This window comes from Homo sapiens, chromosome 2 (assembly GCF_000001405.40).
Source record: "Homo sapiens chromosome 2, GRCh38.p14 Primary Assembly".
NCBI lineage: Eukaryota > Metazoa > Chordata > Mammalia > Primates > Hominidae > Homo > Homo sapiens.
Window position 1 is genome coordinate 99087931 of NC_000002.12, and position 19281 is coordinate 99107211.

The following is a 19281-nucleotide window of genomic DNA, read 5'->3' on the forward strand; positions in this document are numbered from 1 at the left end:
AAATACAGATTAAAACCACACAATTATACCTCTTTACATCCAGTAAAATGGCTAAAATTAGAGACTGAAAACACTAAATGTTGCTAAGGATATGGATGGAACAAAGTAAACTCTTATACAACCTTTCTCACATGGGGTTCTGTGGGAGAAAGAACTAGATAAAATTAATTCAGTGACTATTTTCTCAATTCTCTCAAGGATAGCCCAAAGCTAGTACAATTCTAGACTCCTATGAATCTAAGAGAGATGATAATTCGGTGTAGTAGTCCCCTCTTATCTGTGGTTTCTCTTTCTGTGGTTTCAGTTACCCACAGTCAACTGAAAACAGAGAGACCACATTCACATGACTTTTACAATATGTGGTTATAATTAGTTATTGTTGTTATATTTTATTATTAGTTATTGTTGTTAATCTCTTACTGCACCTAATTTATAAATTAAATATTATCATAGGTATGTATATTTAGGAAAAAACACATAGTACATATAGGGTTCAGTATTAATATCTGTGGTTTCAGGCATCCACTGAGGGTCTTGGGACATATCCCCCCTCGATAAGAGGGGACTACTATACATACAATAGGTATCTTAGCAAATTAGAACTCAGTTCTCATTCTCTCTGAAAGGCCTGATTTAAAAGGGCTGCATTATAAATTGTTACTGGGACTGTAAAATCACACAATCACGTGGAAAACTGATCATTCCTTATGAAATTAAATGCATGCTTACCATGTAACCCAATAATTCCACTCTTATTTATTCAAGAGAATAAAAACATATGCCCATAAAAGGCATATGCAAAAATTTTACAGCAGTCTTATTCATGAATTACAGCTAAAAGTGGGTGACTAATCCAAATATCTATCAACAAAGTATTAATAAAAGCATGTGGTTTATCTATACTATGGACTACTACTTCACAATTTTAAAAAAGGATTGTGGTGGGGAAAATGGCAGATAGGAGGCAGGACTAATTTGAAGCTCTCACTCAGACGAACAAAGCAGTGTGTGGAGACTCACGTTGTGAACTTTTGCTTCAAGAACTACAGAAGGAACATACTAGGAAAGCCGAGAGAATCCACAGACCCTTTGAAGGAAGAGGATTGCTCCTGCAGGACCTGAGAGACAGCCCACATAATTTGAGTGCCCAAAGTGGGAAAGTGGGAAATGGGGATCATCCACCCCTGAACACACACCTTCACTGGGGAAAGTGAAGGTCCAGATCACGGGAGAAGGATTTGACCTTACCTGGAGCTGAGATACTTTAGAGAGCCAAGCGAAATACAGGAGTAGAGTAAGCAGCGGGAAGAGCCCTGTGGGCTCTCTCAGTCCCCAGGGAAGCCATCTCTGACATTGTCTCACAGGGGTCCTTGGGGAGGGCTGCCAGAGGAACTGGGAAAAGACCACAGGGAGAAGGAAACTTCCAACTGAATTTTGTAACAATTCCAACCAAATGTGAACTTTCTTGGACAGAACTCAGGGAAAGAGGTGAAGCTCAAGTGCAGATGCAGGCAGGAGGGGTGGCACAAAACCTGAAAGCCCTGCTTGCTTTCTCAGCTGGGAGGCTGGTAGCCTGGGGCAAGTTCTCAGCCCTGCTTGCCCACTGCCTGGAAACAAACTTGGTGTTGTTGGTGGGGAGGGCACAGTGGGAGTGAGATTGGCCTTTTGGGTTGCATGGGAGCTGGGTGAGGCCTGTAATTGCTGGCTTTCCCCCACTTCCCTAGTGACCTGCATGACACAGGAGAGGCAGCCATAATCCTCCTGGGAGCATAACTCCCTTGACCTGGGAACCACACTCCCATCCCCCAGAGCAGTGGTAGCAAGCCCCACCCAAGGAGAATCTAAGCTCTGACATGACTAACCCTGCCCCACCTGAGGGTCTTCCTCTATCCACCTGGTAGCTGAAGACAAAGGTCATATTCTCTTGGGAGTTCTGGGGCCCCACTCACCACCTGATCCTCCCTATACTACCATAGCTGATGCTCTCTTGAAAGTGCCACCTCCTGGCAGGAGGCCAACCAGCACAAAACCAGTGCAATAAACAACAATAATACAACCAAGGACCCTCACAGAGTCCATTTCACTCCCCTGCCACCTCCACCAGAGCAGGTGCTGCTATCTATGGCTGAGAGACCAGAAGATGGTTCATATCACAGGACTCTGTACAAACACCCCCCAGTACCAGCCCAGAACCTGGTAGACCCACTAGGTGGCTAGATACAGAAGAGAAATAACAATCACACAGTTTGGCTATCAGGAAGCCACATCCCTCTAGGAAGAGAGAGAGAATACTACATCAAGGGAGTACCCCATGGGACAAAAGAATCTGAACAGCAGCCCCTGAGCCCCAGATCTTCCCTCTGACATAGCCTACCCAAATGAGAAGGAACAAGAAAAACAATTCTGGTAATATGACAAAACAAAGTTCTTTAACACCCTCAAAAAATCACACTAGCTCACCAGCAATGGATCCAAACCAAGAAGAAATCCCTTTTAGATTTCTTCTTGCCAGAAAAAGAATTCAGAAGGTCAGTTATTAAGCTAATCAAGGAGGCACCAGAAAAGGGCAAAGTGTAATTTAATGAAATAAAAAAATGATACAAGATATGAGGGAAGAAATCTTCAGTGAAATAGGTAGTATAAATAAAAAACAATCACAACTTCTGGAAATCAAGGGCACACAGAAATGCAAAATGCACTGGAAAGTCTCAGCAATAGAACTGAACAAACAGAATAAAAAACTTTAGAGCTTGAAGACAAGATTTTCAAAATAACCCAATCCAACAAAGACAAAGAAAAAAGAATTTTAAAAAAATGAACAAAGCTTCCAAGAAGTTTTGGATTATGTTAAACAACCAAACCTAAAAATAACTGGCATCCTGCGGAAGAAGAGAAATCTAAAAGCATGGGAAACGTATTTGGGGGAATAATTGAAGAAAACTTCCCTAGCCTTGCTAGAGACCTAGACATCCAAATACAAGAAGCTCAAAGAACACCTGGGAAATTCATCACAAAAAGATCATCACCTAGGCACATAGTCATCAGGATATCTAAAGGCAAGACAAAGAAAAGAATATTAAGAGCTGTGAGGCAAAAGCATGAGCTAACCTATAAAGGAAAACCTTTCAGATTAACAGCAAATTTCTCAGCAGAAACCCTACTAGCTAGAAGGAATTGTTGTCCTATCTTCAGCCTCCTTAAACAAAACAATTGTCAGCCATTAATTTTGTATCCAGTGAAACTAAGCTTCATACATGAAGGAAAGAGTCTTTTTCAGACAAACAAATGCAGAGAGAATATACCACTACCAAGCCAGCACTACAAAGAACTGCAAAACGAGCTCTAAATCTTGAAACAAATCCTCAATATACATCAAACAGAACCTCCTTAAAGCATAAATCTCACAGGACCTATAAAACAACACAGTAAGTAAATACATACATGCATGCATGCATACATACATACATAAATACCAAGGTATTCAGGCAGTAAATAGCACAATGAATAGAATAGTGTGTCACATCTCAATAGAAACATTGAATGTAAATGGCCTAAATGCTCCACTTAAAAGATACAGAATGGCAGAATTGATAATTCACTGAACAAGTATCTGCTGCTTTCAAGAGACTCACCTAACACATAAGAATCCACATAAACTTAAGGTAAAGGGGTGGAAAAAGACATTCCATGCTAATGGACACCAAAAGCAAGCAAGAGTAGCTATTCTTATATCAGACAAACAAATTTGAAAACAACAGCAGTTGAAAAAGACAAAGAGGGACATTATATAATGATAAAAGGCCTTGTCCAACAGGAAGGTATCACAATCTTAAATATAGAACAGTTACTACTAAACCTAATAATTGACATAGACAGAAGCACAATAATAGTGGGGGACTTCAATACTCCACTGACAGCACTTGACAGGTCATCAAGAAAGAAAGTCAACAAAGAAACAATGGATTTAAACTATACCCTAGTACAGGACTATACCCAAATGGACTTAACAGGTATTTACAGAATATTCCACCCAACAACCACAGAATATACATTCTATTCATTAGCACATGGAATGTTCTTCAAGATAGACCATATCATAGGCCACCAAACAAGTCTCAATAAATTTAAGAAAATTTAAATTATATCAAGTACTGTCTCTGACCACAGTTGAATAAAATTGGAAATCAACTCCAAAAGGAACCTTCAAAACCATGCAAATACATGGAAATTAAATAATCTGCTCCTGAATGATTACTGGGTCAACCATGAAATCAAGATGGAAATTTAAAAATTCTTTGAAGTGAACAATAATAGTGACACAACCTATCAAAACCTTTGGGATACAGCAAAGGCAGTGCTAAAAGAAAAGTTCATAGCTTTAAATGCCTACATCAAAAAGTCTGAAAGAGCACAAACAGACAATCTAAGGTCACACCTCAAGAAACTAGAGAAACAAGAACAAACCAAACCCAAACTCAGCAGAAGAAAAGAAATAATAAATATCAGAGCAAAATGAAATGAAATTGCAACAAAAAACACAAAAAAATTCATCAAAAAGCCAGTTCTTTGAAAAGATAAGTAAAATTGATAGACCATTAGCGAGATTTAACTAAGAAGACAGAAGATACAAATAAGCTCAATTAGAAATGAAATGGGAGATATTACAACTGACATCACAGAAATACAAAAGATCATTTAAGGCTACTACAAACACCTTCACACGCATAAACTAGAAAACCTAGAGGAGACGGATAAATTCCTGGAAATATACAACCCTCCTAGCTTAAACCAGGAAGAATTAGAAACCCTGAACTGACCAATAACAGGGGGATTCAAATAGTAATTTAAAAATTGCCCACAAAAAAAGTCAAGGACCAGCTGAATTCTATCAGACATTCAAAGAAGAATTGGTACCAATTCTACTAAAACTATTCTACAAGATAAAGAGGGAATTTTCCCTAAATCATTCTATGAAGCCAGCATCACCCTAAATACCAAAACCAGGAAAGGACATAACAAAACATGAAACTATAGACCAATATATCTGATGAATATAGATGCAAAAATCCTTAACAAAATACTAGCTAACCAAATCCAACAGCATATCAAAAAGATAATTCACCATGATCAAGTGGGTTTCAAACCAGGGAGGCAGGGAAGGTTTAACATACGCAAGTCAATAAATGTGACAGACCACATAAACAGAATAAAAAACAAAAATCACATGATCATCTCAATAGATGGAGAAAAGGCATCTGACAAAATCCAGCATCCCTTTATGATTAAATCCCTCAGCAAAATCAGCATAAAAGGGACATACCTTAATGTAATAAAAGCCGTCTACGGACATACCCACAGCCAATATAATACGAAACAGGGAAACACTGAAAGCACTCCTGCTAAGAACTGGAAAAAGAAAAGGATGCCCACCCTCTCCACTTCTATTCAACATAGTACTGGAAGTCTTAGCCAGAGCAATCAGACAAGAGAAGTAAAGGGCATCCAAATCAGCAAAGAGGAATTCAAACTGTCACTGTTTGCTGATGATATGATCGTAGACCTAGAAAATCCTAAAGACTCCTCCAAAAAGCTCCTAGAACTGATAAATGAATTCAGAAAAGTTTCAGGATACAAAATCAATGTACACAAATCAGTAGCACTGCTATACACCAACAGCAATCATGCAGAAAATCAAATCAAGAACTCAACACCTTTTTTAATAGCTGCAAAGAAAAAAAAAACAACTTGGGAGTATACCTAACCAAGGAGGTGAAAGATCTCTACAAGGAAAACTATAAAACACTGCTGAAAGACATCACAGACGACACAAACAAATGGAAACATGTCCCGTGCTCATGGATGAGTACAATCAAAAATGTGAAAATGAACCTACTGCCAAAAGCAATATACAAATTCAATGCAATTCCCATCAAAATAACACCATCTTTCTTCACAGAACTAGAAAAGACAATCCCAAAATTCATATGGAACCAAAAAAGAGCCCACATAGCCAAGGCAAGACTAAGCAAAAAGAACAAACCTGGAGGCACTGCATTATCCAACTTCAAACTATACTACAAAGCTACAGTTATCAAAAAAGCATGGTACTGATATAAAAATAGGCACTTAGACGAATGCAACAGAATAAGAACGCAGAAATAAGGCCAAATGCTTAAAGCCAACTGATCTTCGACAAAGCAAACAAAAATATGAAGTAGGGGAAAGGACACCTTATTCAACAAATGGTGCTGGGATAATTGGCAAGCCACATGTAGAAGAATGAAACTGGATCCTCATCTCTCACCTTATACAAAAATCAACTCAAGATGGATCAAGCACTTAAATCTAAGACCTGAAACCATAAAAATTATAGAAGATAACATTGAAAAAACCCTTCTAGACATTGGCTTAGGCAGTGACTTTACGACCAAGAACCCAAAAGCAAATGGAACAAAAACAATAAGTAGGTAGGACTTAATTAAACTAAAAAGTTTCTGCACAGCAAAAGAAACACTCAGCAGAGTAAACAGAAAACACAAACAGTGGGAGAAAATCTTCACAATCCATATATCTGACAAAGGACTAATATCCAGAATCTACACGGAACTCAAACAAATTAGCAATAAAAAAACAAACAATCCCATCAAAAAGTGGGCTAAGGACATGAATAGATAATTTTCAAAAGAAGATATACAAATGGCCAACAAACAAATTAAAAAATGCTCAACATCACTAATGATCAGGGAAATGCAAATCAAAGACAAAATGTGATACCACCTTACTCCTGCAAGAATTGGCCATAATCAAAAAAATTAAAAACCAACAGATGTTGGTGGGGATGCAGTGAAAGGGACCACTTTTACACTGCTGGTGGGAATGTAAACTAGTACAACCACTATGGAAAACAGTGTGGAGATTCCTTAAAGAACTAAATGTAAAACCATTTGATCCAGCAATCCAACTACTGAGTGTCTACCCAGAGGAAAAGAAGTCATTATACAAAAAAGATACTTGTACACACGTTTATAGCAGCACAATTAGCAATTTCAAAAATATGGAACCAGCCCAAATGTCCATCAATCAATAAATGGATAAAGAAATTGTGGTATATATATACCATGGAATACAATCCAGTCATAAAAAGGAATGAAATAATCACATTCGCAGCAACCTGGATGGAACTGGAGACCATTATTCTAAGGGAAGTAACTCAGGAATGGAAAACCAAACATCTTATGTTCTCACTCATAAGTGGGAGCTAAGCTATGAGGATGCAAAGGCATAAGGATGATACAATGGACTTTGGGGATTTAGGGGAAAGGATGGGAGGTGGGGTGAGGGATAAAAGACTATAAATTGGGTACAGTGTATACTGCTCGGGCTATGGGTGCACCAAGATCTCACAAATCACTGAAGAATGTACTCATGTAACCAAACACCATCTGTTCCCCAAAAACCTATGGAAATTAAACAAATAAAATAAAATAAAAAATAAAAGGTTCATATTAGAAATATTAAAGATTGTACTATTAATACTTTTTTAAGTGATAATGATTCTTTAAAAAATTCTATTGAAACAAGCCAGATACAAAAAAGTATATACTTTATACTTAAAAAAGTATATACTTTAGTGAGATTTAACTAAGAAAAGAAGACAGAAGATACAAATAAGCTCAATTAGAAATGAAATGGGAGATATTACAACTGACATCACAGAAATACAAAAGATCAGACAGAGTTTCGCTCTGTCACCAGGCTGTAGTACAGTGGTGCAATCTCGGCTCACTGCAACTTCTGACTCTCTAGTTCAAGCGATTCTCCTGCCTCAGCCTCCCCAGTAGCTGGGATTACAGGCACACGCCACCACGCCCAGCTAATTTTTGTATTTTTAGTAGAGACGGAGTTTCACCATTTTGGCCAGGCTGGTCTCAATCTCCTGACCTCGTGATTCACCAGCCTCGGCCTCCCAAAGTGCTGGGATTACAGGCGTGAGCCACTGTGCCTAGCCAAAAAAAAGTATATTGTATCAGTACGTATGTAGGCAGCCCCAACTTTGACAGCCATGCAGGACCACAAAAATGACTGTACAAGCTGTCCAGGCAAAGTAATCTTTAATAATCAATGAGAAAAATAATTTTTCCATAATTTTTAAATTTTAAGTCAAAATATAACTTTATTACTGTCATTTATAAGTGTATAGCAAAATTTTAAAAACTAGTATTTATTGAGTACATTGTAAATTAAAACATTAGGTACATTGAGAATTAACATGTTTTATTCTTTATAAAAAGTTTATCAAGAGTAGTTTGAACAGTGCTTGCCGCCCCTTATCAAAACAAAATACAGAGCAAGCATGTTTTTTATGTCTTGGCAAGTTGTTATACACCTTTCTAAGTTTGGATCAGCTTCCGTGTTTTACCCTTTATGCTTTCAATGGCATGAAACATCTCGGAGAGTTCTTTTAATGTGATGGCTTTTGCCAATGTCACGTCTACTGGGCTGCCTTCATCCTTTTTGTCACAATCACTTTCTTCAATTATGTTGATAAGGTTGCCTTTATTAGTTTCCCTGGCTGCATATCTAGAATCTCTTTAATGGCAGCAGTGTCAACATTTCCATGACAGCTATTTCTTCCTTAATTCCCTTTACATTTGACTCAAATTTTGCTTCCAGTGTTGTAACTCTTGGTTTCTTTGTAGCATTTTCATCTTTGATGGCCAATTCCCCCCTTTCAACTATCCATTTTATAAAATGTCACATGTTCATCACTGGGAAACGAGGAGGCAACAGAAAACAGACTTTGCTATCTAAGCATAAACTGATTAACATGTCACTGATCAATCACCCACACACTTTAAAAGAAGTGATGTGATTGGTCACTGGTCATGATTTATATCTGTTATTTTCTTAGGGATTTGTAGATTAAAGAGCTAGCAGTAAGTTTGTACTTCATGCAATTACTCACAGTAATTACTCTGGTAACTGAAACTGTGTTGGTAGAGAACTGATATTACTAAACTAAACCCTACTAACCAAATTAATGCATATAGAAACCATGCAAAGTGGGGACTCCCTCTAAGAAACCCAGATACAGGCAAAATTTACCTATGGTAATAAGTGTCAGGCAATGGGGAGGAGGAGAACTGACTGGAAAGGAGAATAAGGAAACTATCTGGAGGGAAGGAAACGCTCTGTATCTTTTTTAAAGTATGGTTACACAGTTATATACAATTGTGTACATTCATCAAACTGACCATATGTTATTGCATATTAATGACCTGAATCTGAAAATATATATATATAGGACCCCAAAAACTTAAATTCAGACAAAATTCTAAAATAAATTCTAAAGGATATTTTTTCTAACAGAAAATAAAGGACCCCAGATCACTCAAAGGCAACAAAAGGAATGAAGGGCAATGAAAAGAATAAATGTACAGGTAAATCTAAACAAATATTGACTGAGCAAACAACAGTAAGTGTTTTATTCAGTTTATATATATAGTTATACACACATGTATGTATATGTGTTATTAAAATATTTGGCTAAAAATGGTACAGAAGTTAAGATGGGTAAATGGAGTTACTGTTCTAAGGTTCTTGCAATTCTCAGGTAATCACTAAAAGAATAATAAATGAGTTTATGACTTCTAGAATGATTTCTAAGCTGACAGAAAACAATAAAATGATTTTTTAAATACCCCATCAATCCAAAAGAAGGCAAGAAAAGAATCATACAATTGATAATAACAGAAAGCATACAAGACATTAGATTTAAACCCAAAGATATAAGTAAATAAAATACAAATGGACCAAATGATCCAGTTAAAATACAAAAGATGTCAGATTAAATTTTAAAAACTTAACATATGCTATTTGTGAAAGATGTCTAAAACATAAGGACACTGAAAGGTTGACAGCAAAAGAAAATATTTTTCATGAAAATGAATACTGAAAGAAAATTGGTATAGCTATGTTAATATCACACAAAGAGGTAAGAAATATGAGTAGAGATAAAGAAAGTCACTTAGTAATAGAAAAATTGTAAACGTATATGCACCTAATAACATACCATCAAAATATATAATGAAAAAATTGACAGGTCTCCAAGGACAAAAAATTTTTATACAGAAAATAGTAAATATCAAAACCTTTAGAATATACCTAAAGAAGTATTTTGAGGATAATTTAAAGCTTTACATGTTTCTATTAGAAAAAAAGGCCTAGCCGGGCACGGTGGCTCACACCTGTAATCCCAGGACTTTGGGAGGCTGAGGTGGGTGGATCACGAGGTCAGGAGTTTGAGACCAACCTGGCTAACACGATGAAACCCTGTCTCTACTAAAAATACAAAAAAAATTAGCCAGGCGTGGTGGCGGGCACCTGTAGTCCCAGTTACTTGGGAGGCTGAGGCAGGAGAATGGCATGAACTTGGGAGGTGGAGCATGCAGTGAGCCGAGATCGCACCACTGCACTCCAACCTGGGTGACAGAGAGAGACTCTGCCTCAAAAAAAAAAAAAAAAAGAAAAGAAAAGAAAAGAAAAAAGAAAAAAAGGCCTAAAAAGTAAAAATGTAAACATTCATCTGAAGAAAATTCAAGAAAAAAAGAAATCTAAAAAAAATAGAGGAAAGGAAATAATAAGAACAAAAGTAATGAAATAATAAAAACAAAAAACAAACAATAGGATCAAAACCAAAGCAAAATGTTGGTCTTTGGAAAAAACTAATAATAACCACCAACTGCAGAATAGAAAAACAGGAAATAACTACAGACTCTATGTACATTCAAATGTCCACAGGATATTATAAATAACATTATACTAAACATCCTTTTAAATTTAGACAAAATGAAAACTGCTTACATATATATACTAACTTGCGTAAGAAGGAAATTCTAATTATTTCTTTAATAAATAAATGAAATAAAACCTTCCCTTAAAGAAGAGATCCAAATGACTTTATTGGTAAGTTCTACAACTCCAATCTTATACAAACTGTTCCACAAAATGACAGAAGAAAAAATGAATTGAAAAGAGTATTATAGTATGAGTTTACATTACCTTGCTATCAAAATCTGATTTTAAAAAGCCATAAGAGACAGCTGGGCGTGATGGCTCACACCTGTAATCCCAGCACTTTGGGAGGCCAAGGCAGGTGGATCACCTGAGGTCGGGAGTTCAAGACCAGCCTGACCAACATGGAGAAACCACATCTCTACTAAAAATACAAAATTAGCTGGGGGTAGTGGCGCGTGCCTGTAATCCCAGCTGCTCGGGAGGCTGAGGCAGGAGAATCACTTGATCCTGGGAGGCGGAGGTTGCGGTGAGCCAAGATCGCGCCATTGCACTCCAGCCTGGGCAACAAGAGTGAAACTCCGTCTCAAAAATAATAAAAAATAAAATAAAGCCATAAGAAAGGTAAATTATCAGCCAATCTAAATTACAAAAATAGATGTAAATATACAAAACAAAGTATTAGTTAACATAGACCAACAATAAGTAACAAGCATAATATAGTGTGACCAATCTATATTTATTCTACCCTGTAAAGTTGGTTTAGTATTACAAAATTAATCAGTGCAAGTTCACATTTTAACAGAATAAGGGAGAAAAATAATGTGACCATCTAAATACATGAATAAAAATTATCAGATCAATTTCAACATTCATGTATGATTTTTTAGTATCTGGGCAAAATAAAAATAGGAGAAAATTTTCTTAAATCTAATATTACATAGTTATCAAAGAACCTACAAGAAATATATTGAATAGTTAATTAGAAGTAATTCACATATAACAAGGCAAGAAAAATAAAATGTATAAGAATTAGAGAGGCAGGAAAAGAATACTTGCAGATAACATGATTTTATGTACACAAATAAAAAAACTTCTGTAGGTGGGTTATTAAAATTAATGAAAAGTTAGCAGGACTGTTGGATACCACACCAAAATACAAAAATCAATTTTATTTTTACATAACAGCCACAATTTTTAAAAACAGTTAAAATCATCTCAAAATACTGAGTACCTACGAATTTAACAAAATAAATGTAAGACCTCTCTACACACAAAAAATAGGAAACATTATAGAGCAAAACTGAAAAATATAGAGAGATATACAATGCTTATGGTGGCCCAGAAGACTCAAATAACATAAAAATAAATGATTTAAAAATTAATCTATGATTCAACTCAATGCCATTAAAATCTTAATAGTGTTTTTCTTTTTTGGGGTGGACTTTGACCAGCTCACTCTAAAATTTATATGAAAATTGAAAATGCAAAGGGCCGGCAATAGTCAAGACTTTCTTGATGAATAACAAGGTAGATTTGTTCTTATAGGTTTAACACTTTTACAGTTATAGTAATTAGGAAAGTTTTGTAATGGTACAAGAACCATGTAAAAGACAAATGGAACAGATTATTGACCCTAGAAATAAACACATACATAGATATTTATTTTTAAGAAAAACATCTCTGCAGAGCAGTGAAGGACAATCTTTTCAACAAATATTACTGGGAAAATTGAGTAATCATGTATTAAAAAGCAAAATAAAACAAAACTTGACCACTGCCTCACAACATACACAAAAATACACTCCTGGTAGGGCCGGGTGCGGTGGCTCACGCCTGTAATCCCAGCACTTTGGGAGGCCGAGGCGGGCAGATCACGAGGTCAGGAGATCGAGACCATCCTGGCTAACATGGTGAAACCCCGTCTCTACTAAAAATACAAAAAATTAGCCAGGCGCGGTGGCGGGCGCCTGTAGTCCCAGCTGCTCAGGAGGCTGAGGCAGGAGAATGGTGTGAACCCCGGAGGCAGAGCTTGCAGTGAGCCGAGATTGTGCCACTGCACTCCAGCCTGGGCAACAGAGCGAGACTCCGTCTCAAAAAAAAAAAAAAAAAAATACACTCCTGGTAAATTACACATATAAATATGAAGATAATATAGGAACATACCTTCATGATCTTAAGGTACAAAAATATTTTCTCAGTTAAAAAAAAAAGCATAAATTAGGCTGGGTGAAAAAAAAAAAAAAAGCATAAATTAGGCTGGGCGCGGTGGCTCACGCCTGTAATCCCAGCACTTTGGAAGGCCAAGGTGGGCGAATCACGAGGTCAGGAGATTGAGACCATCCTGGCTAACACCGTGAAACCCCATCTCTACTAAAAATACAAAAAAAATCAGCCGGGCGTGGTGGCGGGCACCTGCTAAGGCAGGAGAATGGCGTGAACCCGGGAAGGCGGAGCTTGCAGTGAGCCGAGATTGCATGACTGCACTCCAGCCTGGGCGACAGAGTGAGACTCTGTCTCAAAAAAAAAAAAAAAAAAAAAAAAAAAGCATAAATCAAATGGGAAAGATGAATAAATCTGACTACATAAATAACGTCTGTTAATAAAAAGATACTTTTATTTTTGTAGAGACAAGGTCTTGCTATGTTGCCTAGGCTTATTTCAAAGTCCTGGCCTCAAGTAATCCTCCTCCCTTGGCCCCTCAAAGTGCTGGGATTACAGGCATGAGCCACTGTCCCCAGCCCAAGACAAGCTTTCTTGGAGAACATCAACAGTAGGCTAGATGAAGTAGAAAAAAATAATTTGTAAACTTGAAGGCAGGTCATTAGAAAATACCCAGAGGATAAAAAAGAAAAAAGAGTAAAAAGAAATGAAGAAAGCCTATGGGATATATGGGACACTATCAAGAGAGCTAACATTAACAAAGAATTATAAAAACAAAAGGAGAGAGAGAGAAAAGAACAAAAAGATAAAGAACTAAAGATTCAGCCTCAAGAAAGGAGGAAATTCTGTCATATGCTACAACGTGGACAAACACTGAAATTATGCTAAGTGAAATAAGACAACCAGAGAAATACTACTCAATACTCCACTTACAAGATGTCTCTAAACAGTTAAACTCAGAAACAGAAAGTAAAATGGTAGTTGCCAAGGATTGACTGGAGGGGGAAATAGGGAGTGCTGTTCAAAGGATACAGAGGTTCAGTTGTGCAACACGAAAAACTCTAGAGATCTGCTTTACCACACTGTTCTTACATTTAACAATACCGGATTATACACTTAAAATTTTGTTAACAGAATTAAAGAAGTACAGCCATGTTAACAAAAAGGCTTTGGATCAGTTTGTAAATTTCTCTGAGCAGAAAGAAAAGTTAATAAAGCGACAAGAAGAGTTAGATAGGGGTTACAAATCGATCATGGAGCTGATGAATATACTTGAACTTCGGAAATATGAAGCTATTCAGTTAACTTTCAAACAGGTATCCAAGAACTTCAGTGAAGTATTCCAGAAGTTAGTACCTGGTGGCAAAGCTACTTTGGTGATGAAGAAAGGAGATGTGGAGGGCAGTCAGTCTCAAGATGAAGGAGAAGGGAGTGGTGAGAGTGAGAGGGGTTCTAGCTCACAAAGCAGTGTCCCATCAGTTGAGCAGTTTACTGGAGTTGGAATTAGGGTGTCATTTACAGGAAAACAAGGTGAAATGAGAGAAATGCAACAGCTTTCAGGTGGACAGAAATCCTTGGTAGCCCTTGCTCTGATTTTTGCCATTCAGAAATGTGACCCGGCTCCATTTTACTTGTTTGATGAGATTGACCAGGCTCTGGATGCTCAGCACAGAAAGGCTGTGTCAGATATGATTATGGAACTTGCTGTACATGCTCAGTTTATTACAACTACTTTTAGGCCTGAACTGCTTGAGTCAGCTGACAAATTCTATGGTGTAAAGTTCAGAAATAAGGTTAGTCATATTGATGTGATCACAGCGGAGATGGCCAAAGACTTTGTAGAAGATGATACCACACATGGTTAATTGGAAAATACTACTTACTGGTTTGGGAGTTGTGTATAGTAATATGATTCTCATACCCAGAACTGTAAATATAAACCTAAATATTTGGCCAATAGTTTTCAGACTTAAAGCATCATAGTCCTTTTATATTTGTCTTTGTATTTTATAAGATACTCTGTAATGTCATGTTTGTACTTACAGTTTTAGAATTTAATTTCCTGTACAACTTTTTGTAAAATGTTCTGCTCCTATTTTAAATGTTTTGAAACATGCTAAATATTCTTTCCTAATTATTTTATCGCTTATACTGCCTTTTTTATAGCTTCAATTAAATAATTGGTTTTATGACTAAAAAAAAAAAAAAAAAAAATTGTTAAGAAAGACCAGGCCCGGTGGCTCATGCCTGTAATCTCAGCATTAATAGGAGTGTGAACTACTATTTTTCTTTCTTAAGTTCCGGGGTACATGTGCAGAACATGCAGGTGTGTTACACAGGTAAACATGTGCCACGGTGGTTTGCCGCACAGATCAACCCGTCACCTAGATATTAAGCTATTACTATTTTTCAATGTTCATAGATGCAATGAAATTCAACCTTACTGAATCTGTAGAACCTCTGTTTCTCACAGCAACAGATACTAAAAGTAAAACCACTCATGTAGAGGTCTTCAAAAACTCATTCTCCCAAGCTTATTGCTGTAGGCTGCTTCAATTGATACATCTTCGGCAACCATGCCAGTACACAGGAAAGGCTAAGTATAGTACTTGCATTCAATTAATAGATGCTCCATCACGTGCTCCTATTTCTCTGTTACGGCTTTTCATTATATTCTAAATCACCCTTTTTCTAAGCAACTGCCAAACCTGTGCTTTGTGTTTTCTTATACTGTTCATATCCCCAAACAGAATTTAAAGTTATAAAGGTAAACAATCAAAGTCAAATATATTCTGTACCCAGAAGAGCTTTGTAAAAGCTATTTCAGTTAAAAGTTGAAGTTTTTTACAAATGTAAAGTAAGATTACTAGAAGTGTGATTCCTAGTTAAGTGTGGCATTACCAGCCTGTGATTGAGCTCAGGAAAATTGTTCACTGTGTGCCAAGGGTTCCTACAACTGCTTTTCAATAATCCTCTCAGAAACTGAACTCAACAAATAATTTTCATTATAAAATACACTATAAAAAGCAGAGCTATAGTTATAGTAAACTGTTGGTTGTTTAAAGGTGATTTAGTTTACCTCAAAGAATTATTCTCTGCTTTTTGTCTGCCAAGTTCACTTTCGGTATCCATTGCCTTTCTTGCTAGTGATTTCATTTCTTTTTCCACAGTGCTTATGGTTTCCTTCATCAAAGTCATATTTGACATTTGCTCCATACGTTCATCATCAAGCTATACAAGTAGAATGACAAGGTTACTGCCATCACTAAAAACACCTTAGTAATCTTCCTGAAGGGCATACTCCCTCTGTACAAACTGGTTTATGGCAAGACTGACAGGATGAGATTATCAGGTTAGACCTGACTGCTGTAGAAGGTTTTACAGATAAGGTGTTGTGAAGTAGGACCAAGGAAAAGCCACTGCAAAGTAAAGCTTATCACAGTATATCAGTCTATATTTTTCAATCTGGTTCAATTTGACTATAGTATAAATATGCTGTTTGCAAAAGAATTTATTTGTTGCCCAACATTAATAAATTACACATATAATGTAGAATTATGAAAACAAAAATTATTTTCTCCTGTCTAGTAATTTTTTTTTTTTTTGAGACAGAGTATCGCTCCATCGCCCAGGTTGAAGTGCAGTGGCGCGATCTCGGCTCACTGCAATCTCCACCTCCCGGGTGCAAGCAATTCTCCTGTCTCAGCCTCCCAAGTAGCTGGGACTACAGGCGCATGCCACCACACCTGGCAAATTTTCATATTTTTAGTAGAGACAGGGTTTCACCATATTGGTCAGGCTGGTCTCAAACTCCTGACCTTAGGTGATCCACCCGCCTTGGCCTCCCAAAGTGCTGGGATTACAGGCATGAGCCACCGTGCCCAGCCCCTATCTCATATTTTTAACTCATTACAATAAAACAGTACAGATGAACTTATAAATATATTCAATTATATTTGGTAATAGAAAGTTAAATTCTCTTATGTTTATATAGTGACAATATCATCAATATATATTCGTAGCAATATCAAATCTGATTAGGAAAAAGGTGATGTTTCACATTTAAATTTAGTTTAAATAAACTTTGCTTATAATTTTTATTTCATCATAATTTTCTCTCCTTATCCACTCTTTAGGTAGAATAAACCATTTTCTTTACATCTGGCAATATTATCTTTAACAAAATATGGAGATGAGAAAGTAGATAAGATCCCTGAAAATGAATGCCTAATGATTTTTTTAAAGTACATACTTTGCAACCTAACACCAAAAAACATTTACTCACATTTTTAGAAGGAAATAAACAAATGAAAAAGTGACAATTTACACTATAAAATACCTTAAGTATTTTAGGACTATAAACACTATCTTAGAAAAATAAAATAACTTCTCTGAATACAGAAAAAGGAGAAAGGGGAAAGCCATTGAGTGTTTATAGCCAAAAGAGACTTTTCTTTTTTTTTTTTTTTACATTATGAACTGTACACTCCAGCTCCTCTATCCTTTGTTCCAGGTGAGCCTTCTCATTAAATGCTGTCTCTTGAGCAATCTGATTAAAAAGCAAAAACAAAATAAAGTGATTTCAATATCCCTGAATTTGTGTTTCACATATATTCACGTAAATAAAATCCTTTCCAACCTTTAGCCTCTCCCTTAGACTATCTCGTTCTGTGGTCATTCTTCGTAAATCAGTAAAGGCTACATCTCTTTCAGTCTCCACTCGCCGGAGAATAGCATGTGCCGTTGTTGATTTAGGACTCTTACAGCTTTTCATCATTTCTCGTCGAAGTCGGGTAATTTCTTCCTGTGCCTATTATTTAAATCATAGACTTTGGTTGAACAAGCTTTAGAACACATAAACATAAAAAATTTTATGTATCTAGCCAGTTAAAATGCAAACCTACATCAACATGCATGCAGCAGGGTAATGGTATCGCTTTTATTTTAAAATAAGCTTATACAAATAAATGAAAATGAATATATTTAAATAGAAGTTCATGTTACAACATCTTTGCCAAAAGTCTAAAATAAAATTAATTTGGAGGAAGTCATTGCAACAGAGAATGTTTTGCTAAGAAATATATTTGGTATACTCCATTTATTCATTTTGTAGTGTAAATTTAAATTCAGCACAATTTAGACAGACTACCGGTTTAATGAATATTATCATAGTGTTTCAGTCTTCCTAAATATAAATGCATATGCCATTCCTATGTCTTGGCTACTTCTGCCCTGACAGAAAGGCCCACCAATCCTTACTGATAACCCAACAGAGTCTCTGCACGTCTGTTCAACCATCCTTGGGTCCCAAATCTATTCCAAACCTGCAGATTATTTAATATCACAGTTCGCTGCACAGGTCTCTTTTCCTCTTGATTTTGATCACTGTCTATTCAGATAGTCTCCAAGCCCCAAAGGAAAATATATAACTTCCCAATTTCCACAGCTAAGCCTTCACCAGAACCCCAAACCTCATCTCCTAAAGTGTCTTCTAAGATCTCCCTGACTCAATTATAATTATTTCTTCTCATCTTGAATAGTACCCTCTCCACTGGCACTTTCTCCCCTGCCTTCAGTCATGTACAGTGCTCCCTTATCTTGAAAACCTGTCACTTGATCCTGCTGACCAATTTACCATCCTATGTCTCTTCTTCCTGCGACACATTAAAAAAAAAAAGTCCCATGGTCTATAACTATTGCCAATGGTTCCTTACCATCCATTCTATCACCCCAGAACAACCTGGCTCCCACCCTCCCACCTTCTGTGGAATTTCAACTAAAGACCTAACCAAATATAATGGTCTTTTCTCAGTTCCTGTTCTCCTTGATATTTCAGTGGTCTGTTGCTGCTCACAACATCCTTCTTCTTGAGATTCCTTCCTCCCTTTTAACATTGTTCCTCCCTAGCTGTCTGTCATCTTTGTCTCTTTCAAAGGTTCCCTTCTGCATCTTGAATATTATAACTTAACGTTTCTGCTCCTCTATGTACAGTTTTCTCATTCAGAGACTTCATCCACTCTGAAGGCTCGAAGCTCACCTCTAAGCAGATGACTTCCAAAGCTAACTATTTAACTCTTGCCTCTCTCTACTCCAGTCCCACATTTCTTACAGTCTGATGGCAATTACGACCTGAGTGTGCTATCATTATCTTACTCTGTCTAAAAACAAACTCACATCTTTTTCCTCAAACCACCAATGACTCTCCTATTTTTTATTTTATTACCACATTGCTGAGTCATTCAAGACAGAATTTTAGTCACTGTCATGCAACCCTCCTTCTTCCTAAAAGCAAATCATGTCAAATCTTCCTTCACAGGGTCTTTT

General features: G+C 36.7%; 1 protein-coding gene and 1 pseudogene across 23 annotated transcripts in view; one reads left to right on the forward strand and one right to left on the reverse strand.

Annotated features, from left to right (window-relative positions):
• The window catches only part of TSGA10 (testis specific 10), a 157706-nt gene that overhangs the window by 90670 nt on the left and 47755 nt on the right, over nucleotides 1-19281 (reverse strand). For all 23 annotated transcript variants that reach the window (NR_146001.2, XM_047445934.1, XM_047445931.1 and 20 more), the window contains 3 exons: nucleotides 17597-17767; nucleotides 17429-17506; nucleotides 16037-16188 (listed from right to left, as the gene is read on the reverse strand). Coding sequence is in view for 22 of the 23 variants with exons in the window: in XM_047445934.1 (XP_047301890.1) it covers nucleotides 16037-16188; nucleotides 17429-17506; nucleotides 17597-17767 (401 nt within the window). In the remaining variant the exon portion in view is untranslated. The remainder of the gene's footprint in view (nucleotides 1-16036; nucleotides 16189-17428; nucleotides 17507-17596; nucleotides 17768-19281) is intronic.
• Nucleotides 14083-15153, forward strand: SMC3P1 (SMC3 pseudogene 1; annotated as a pseudogene).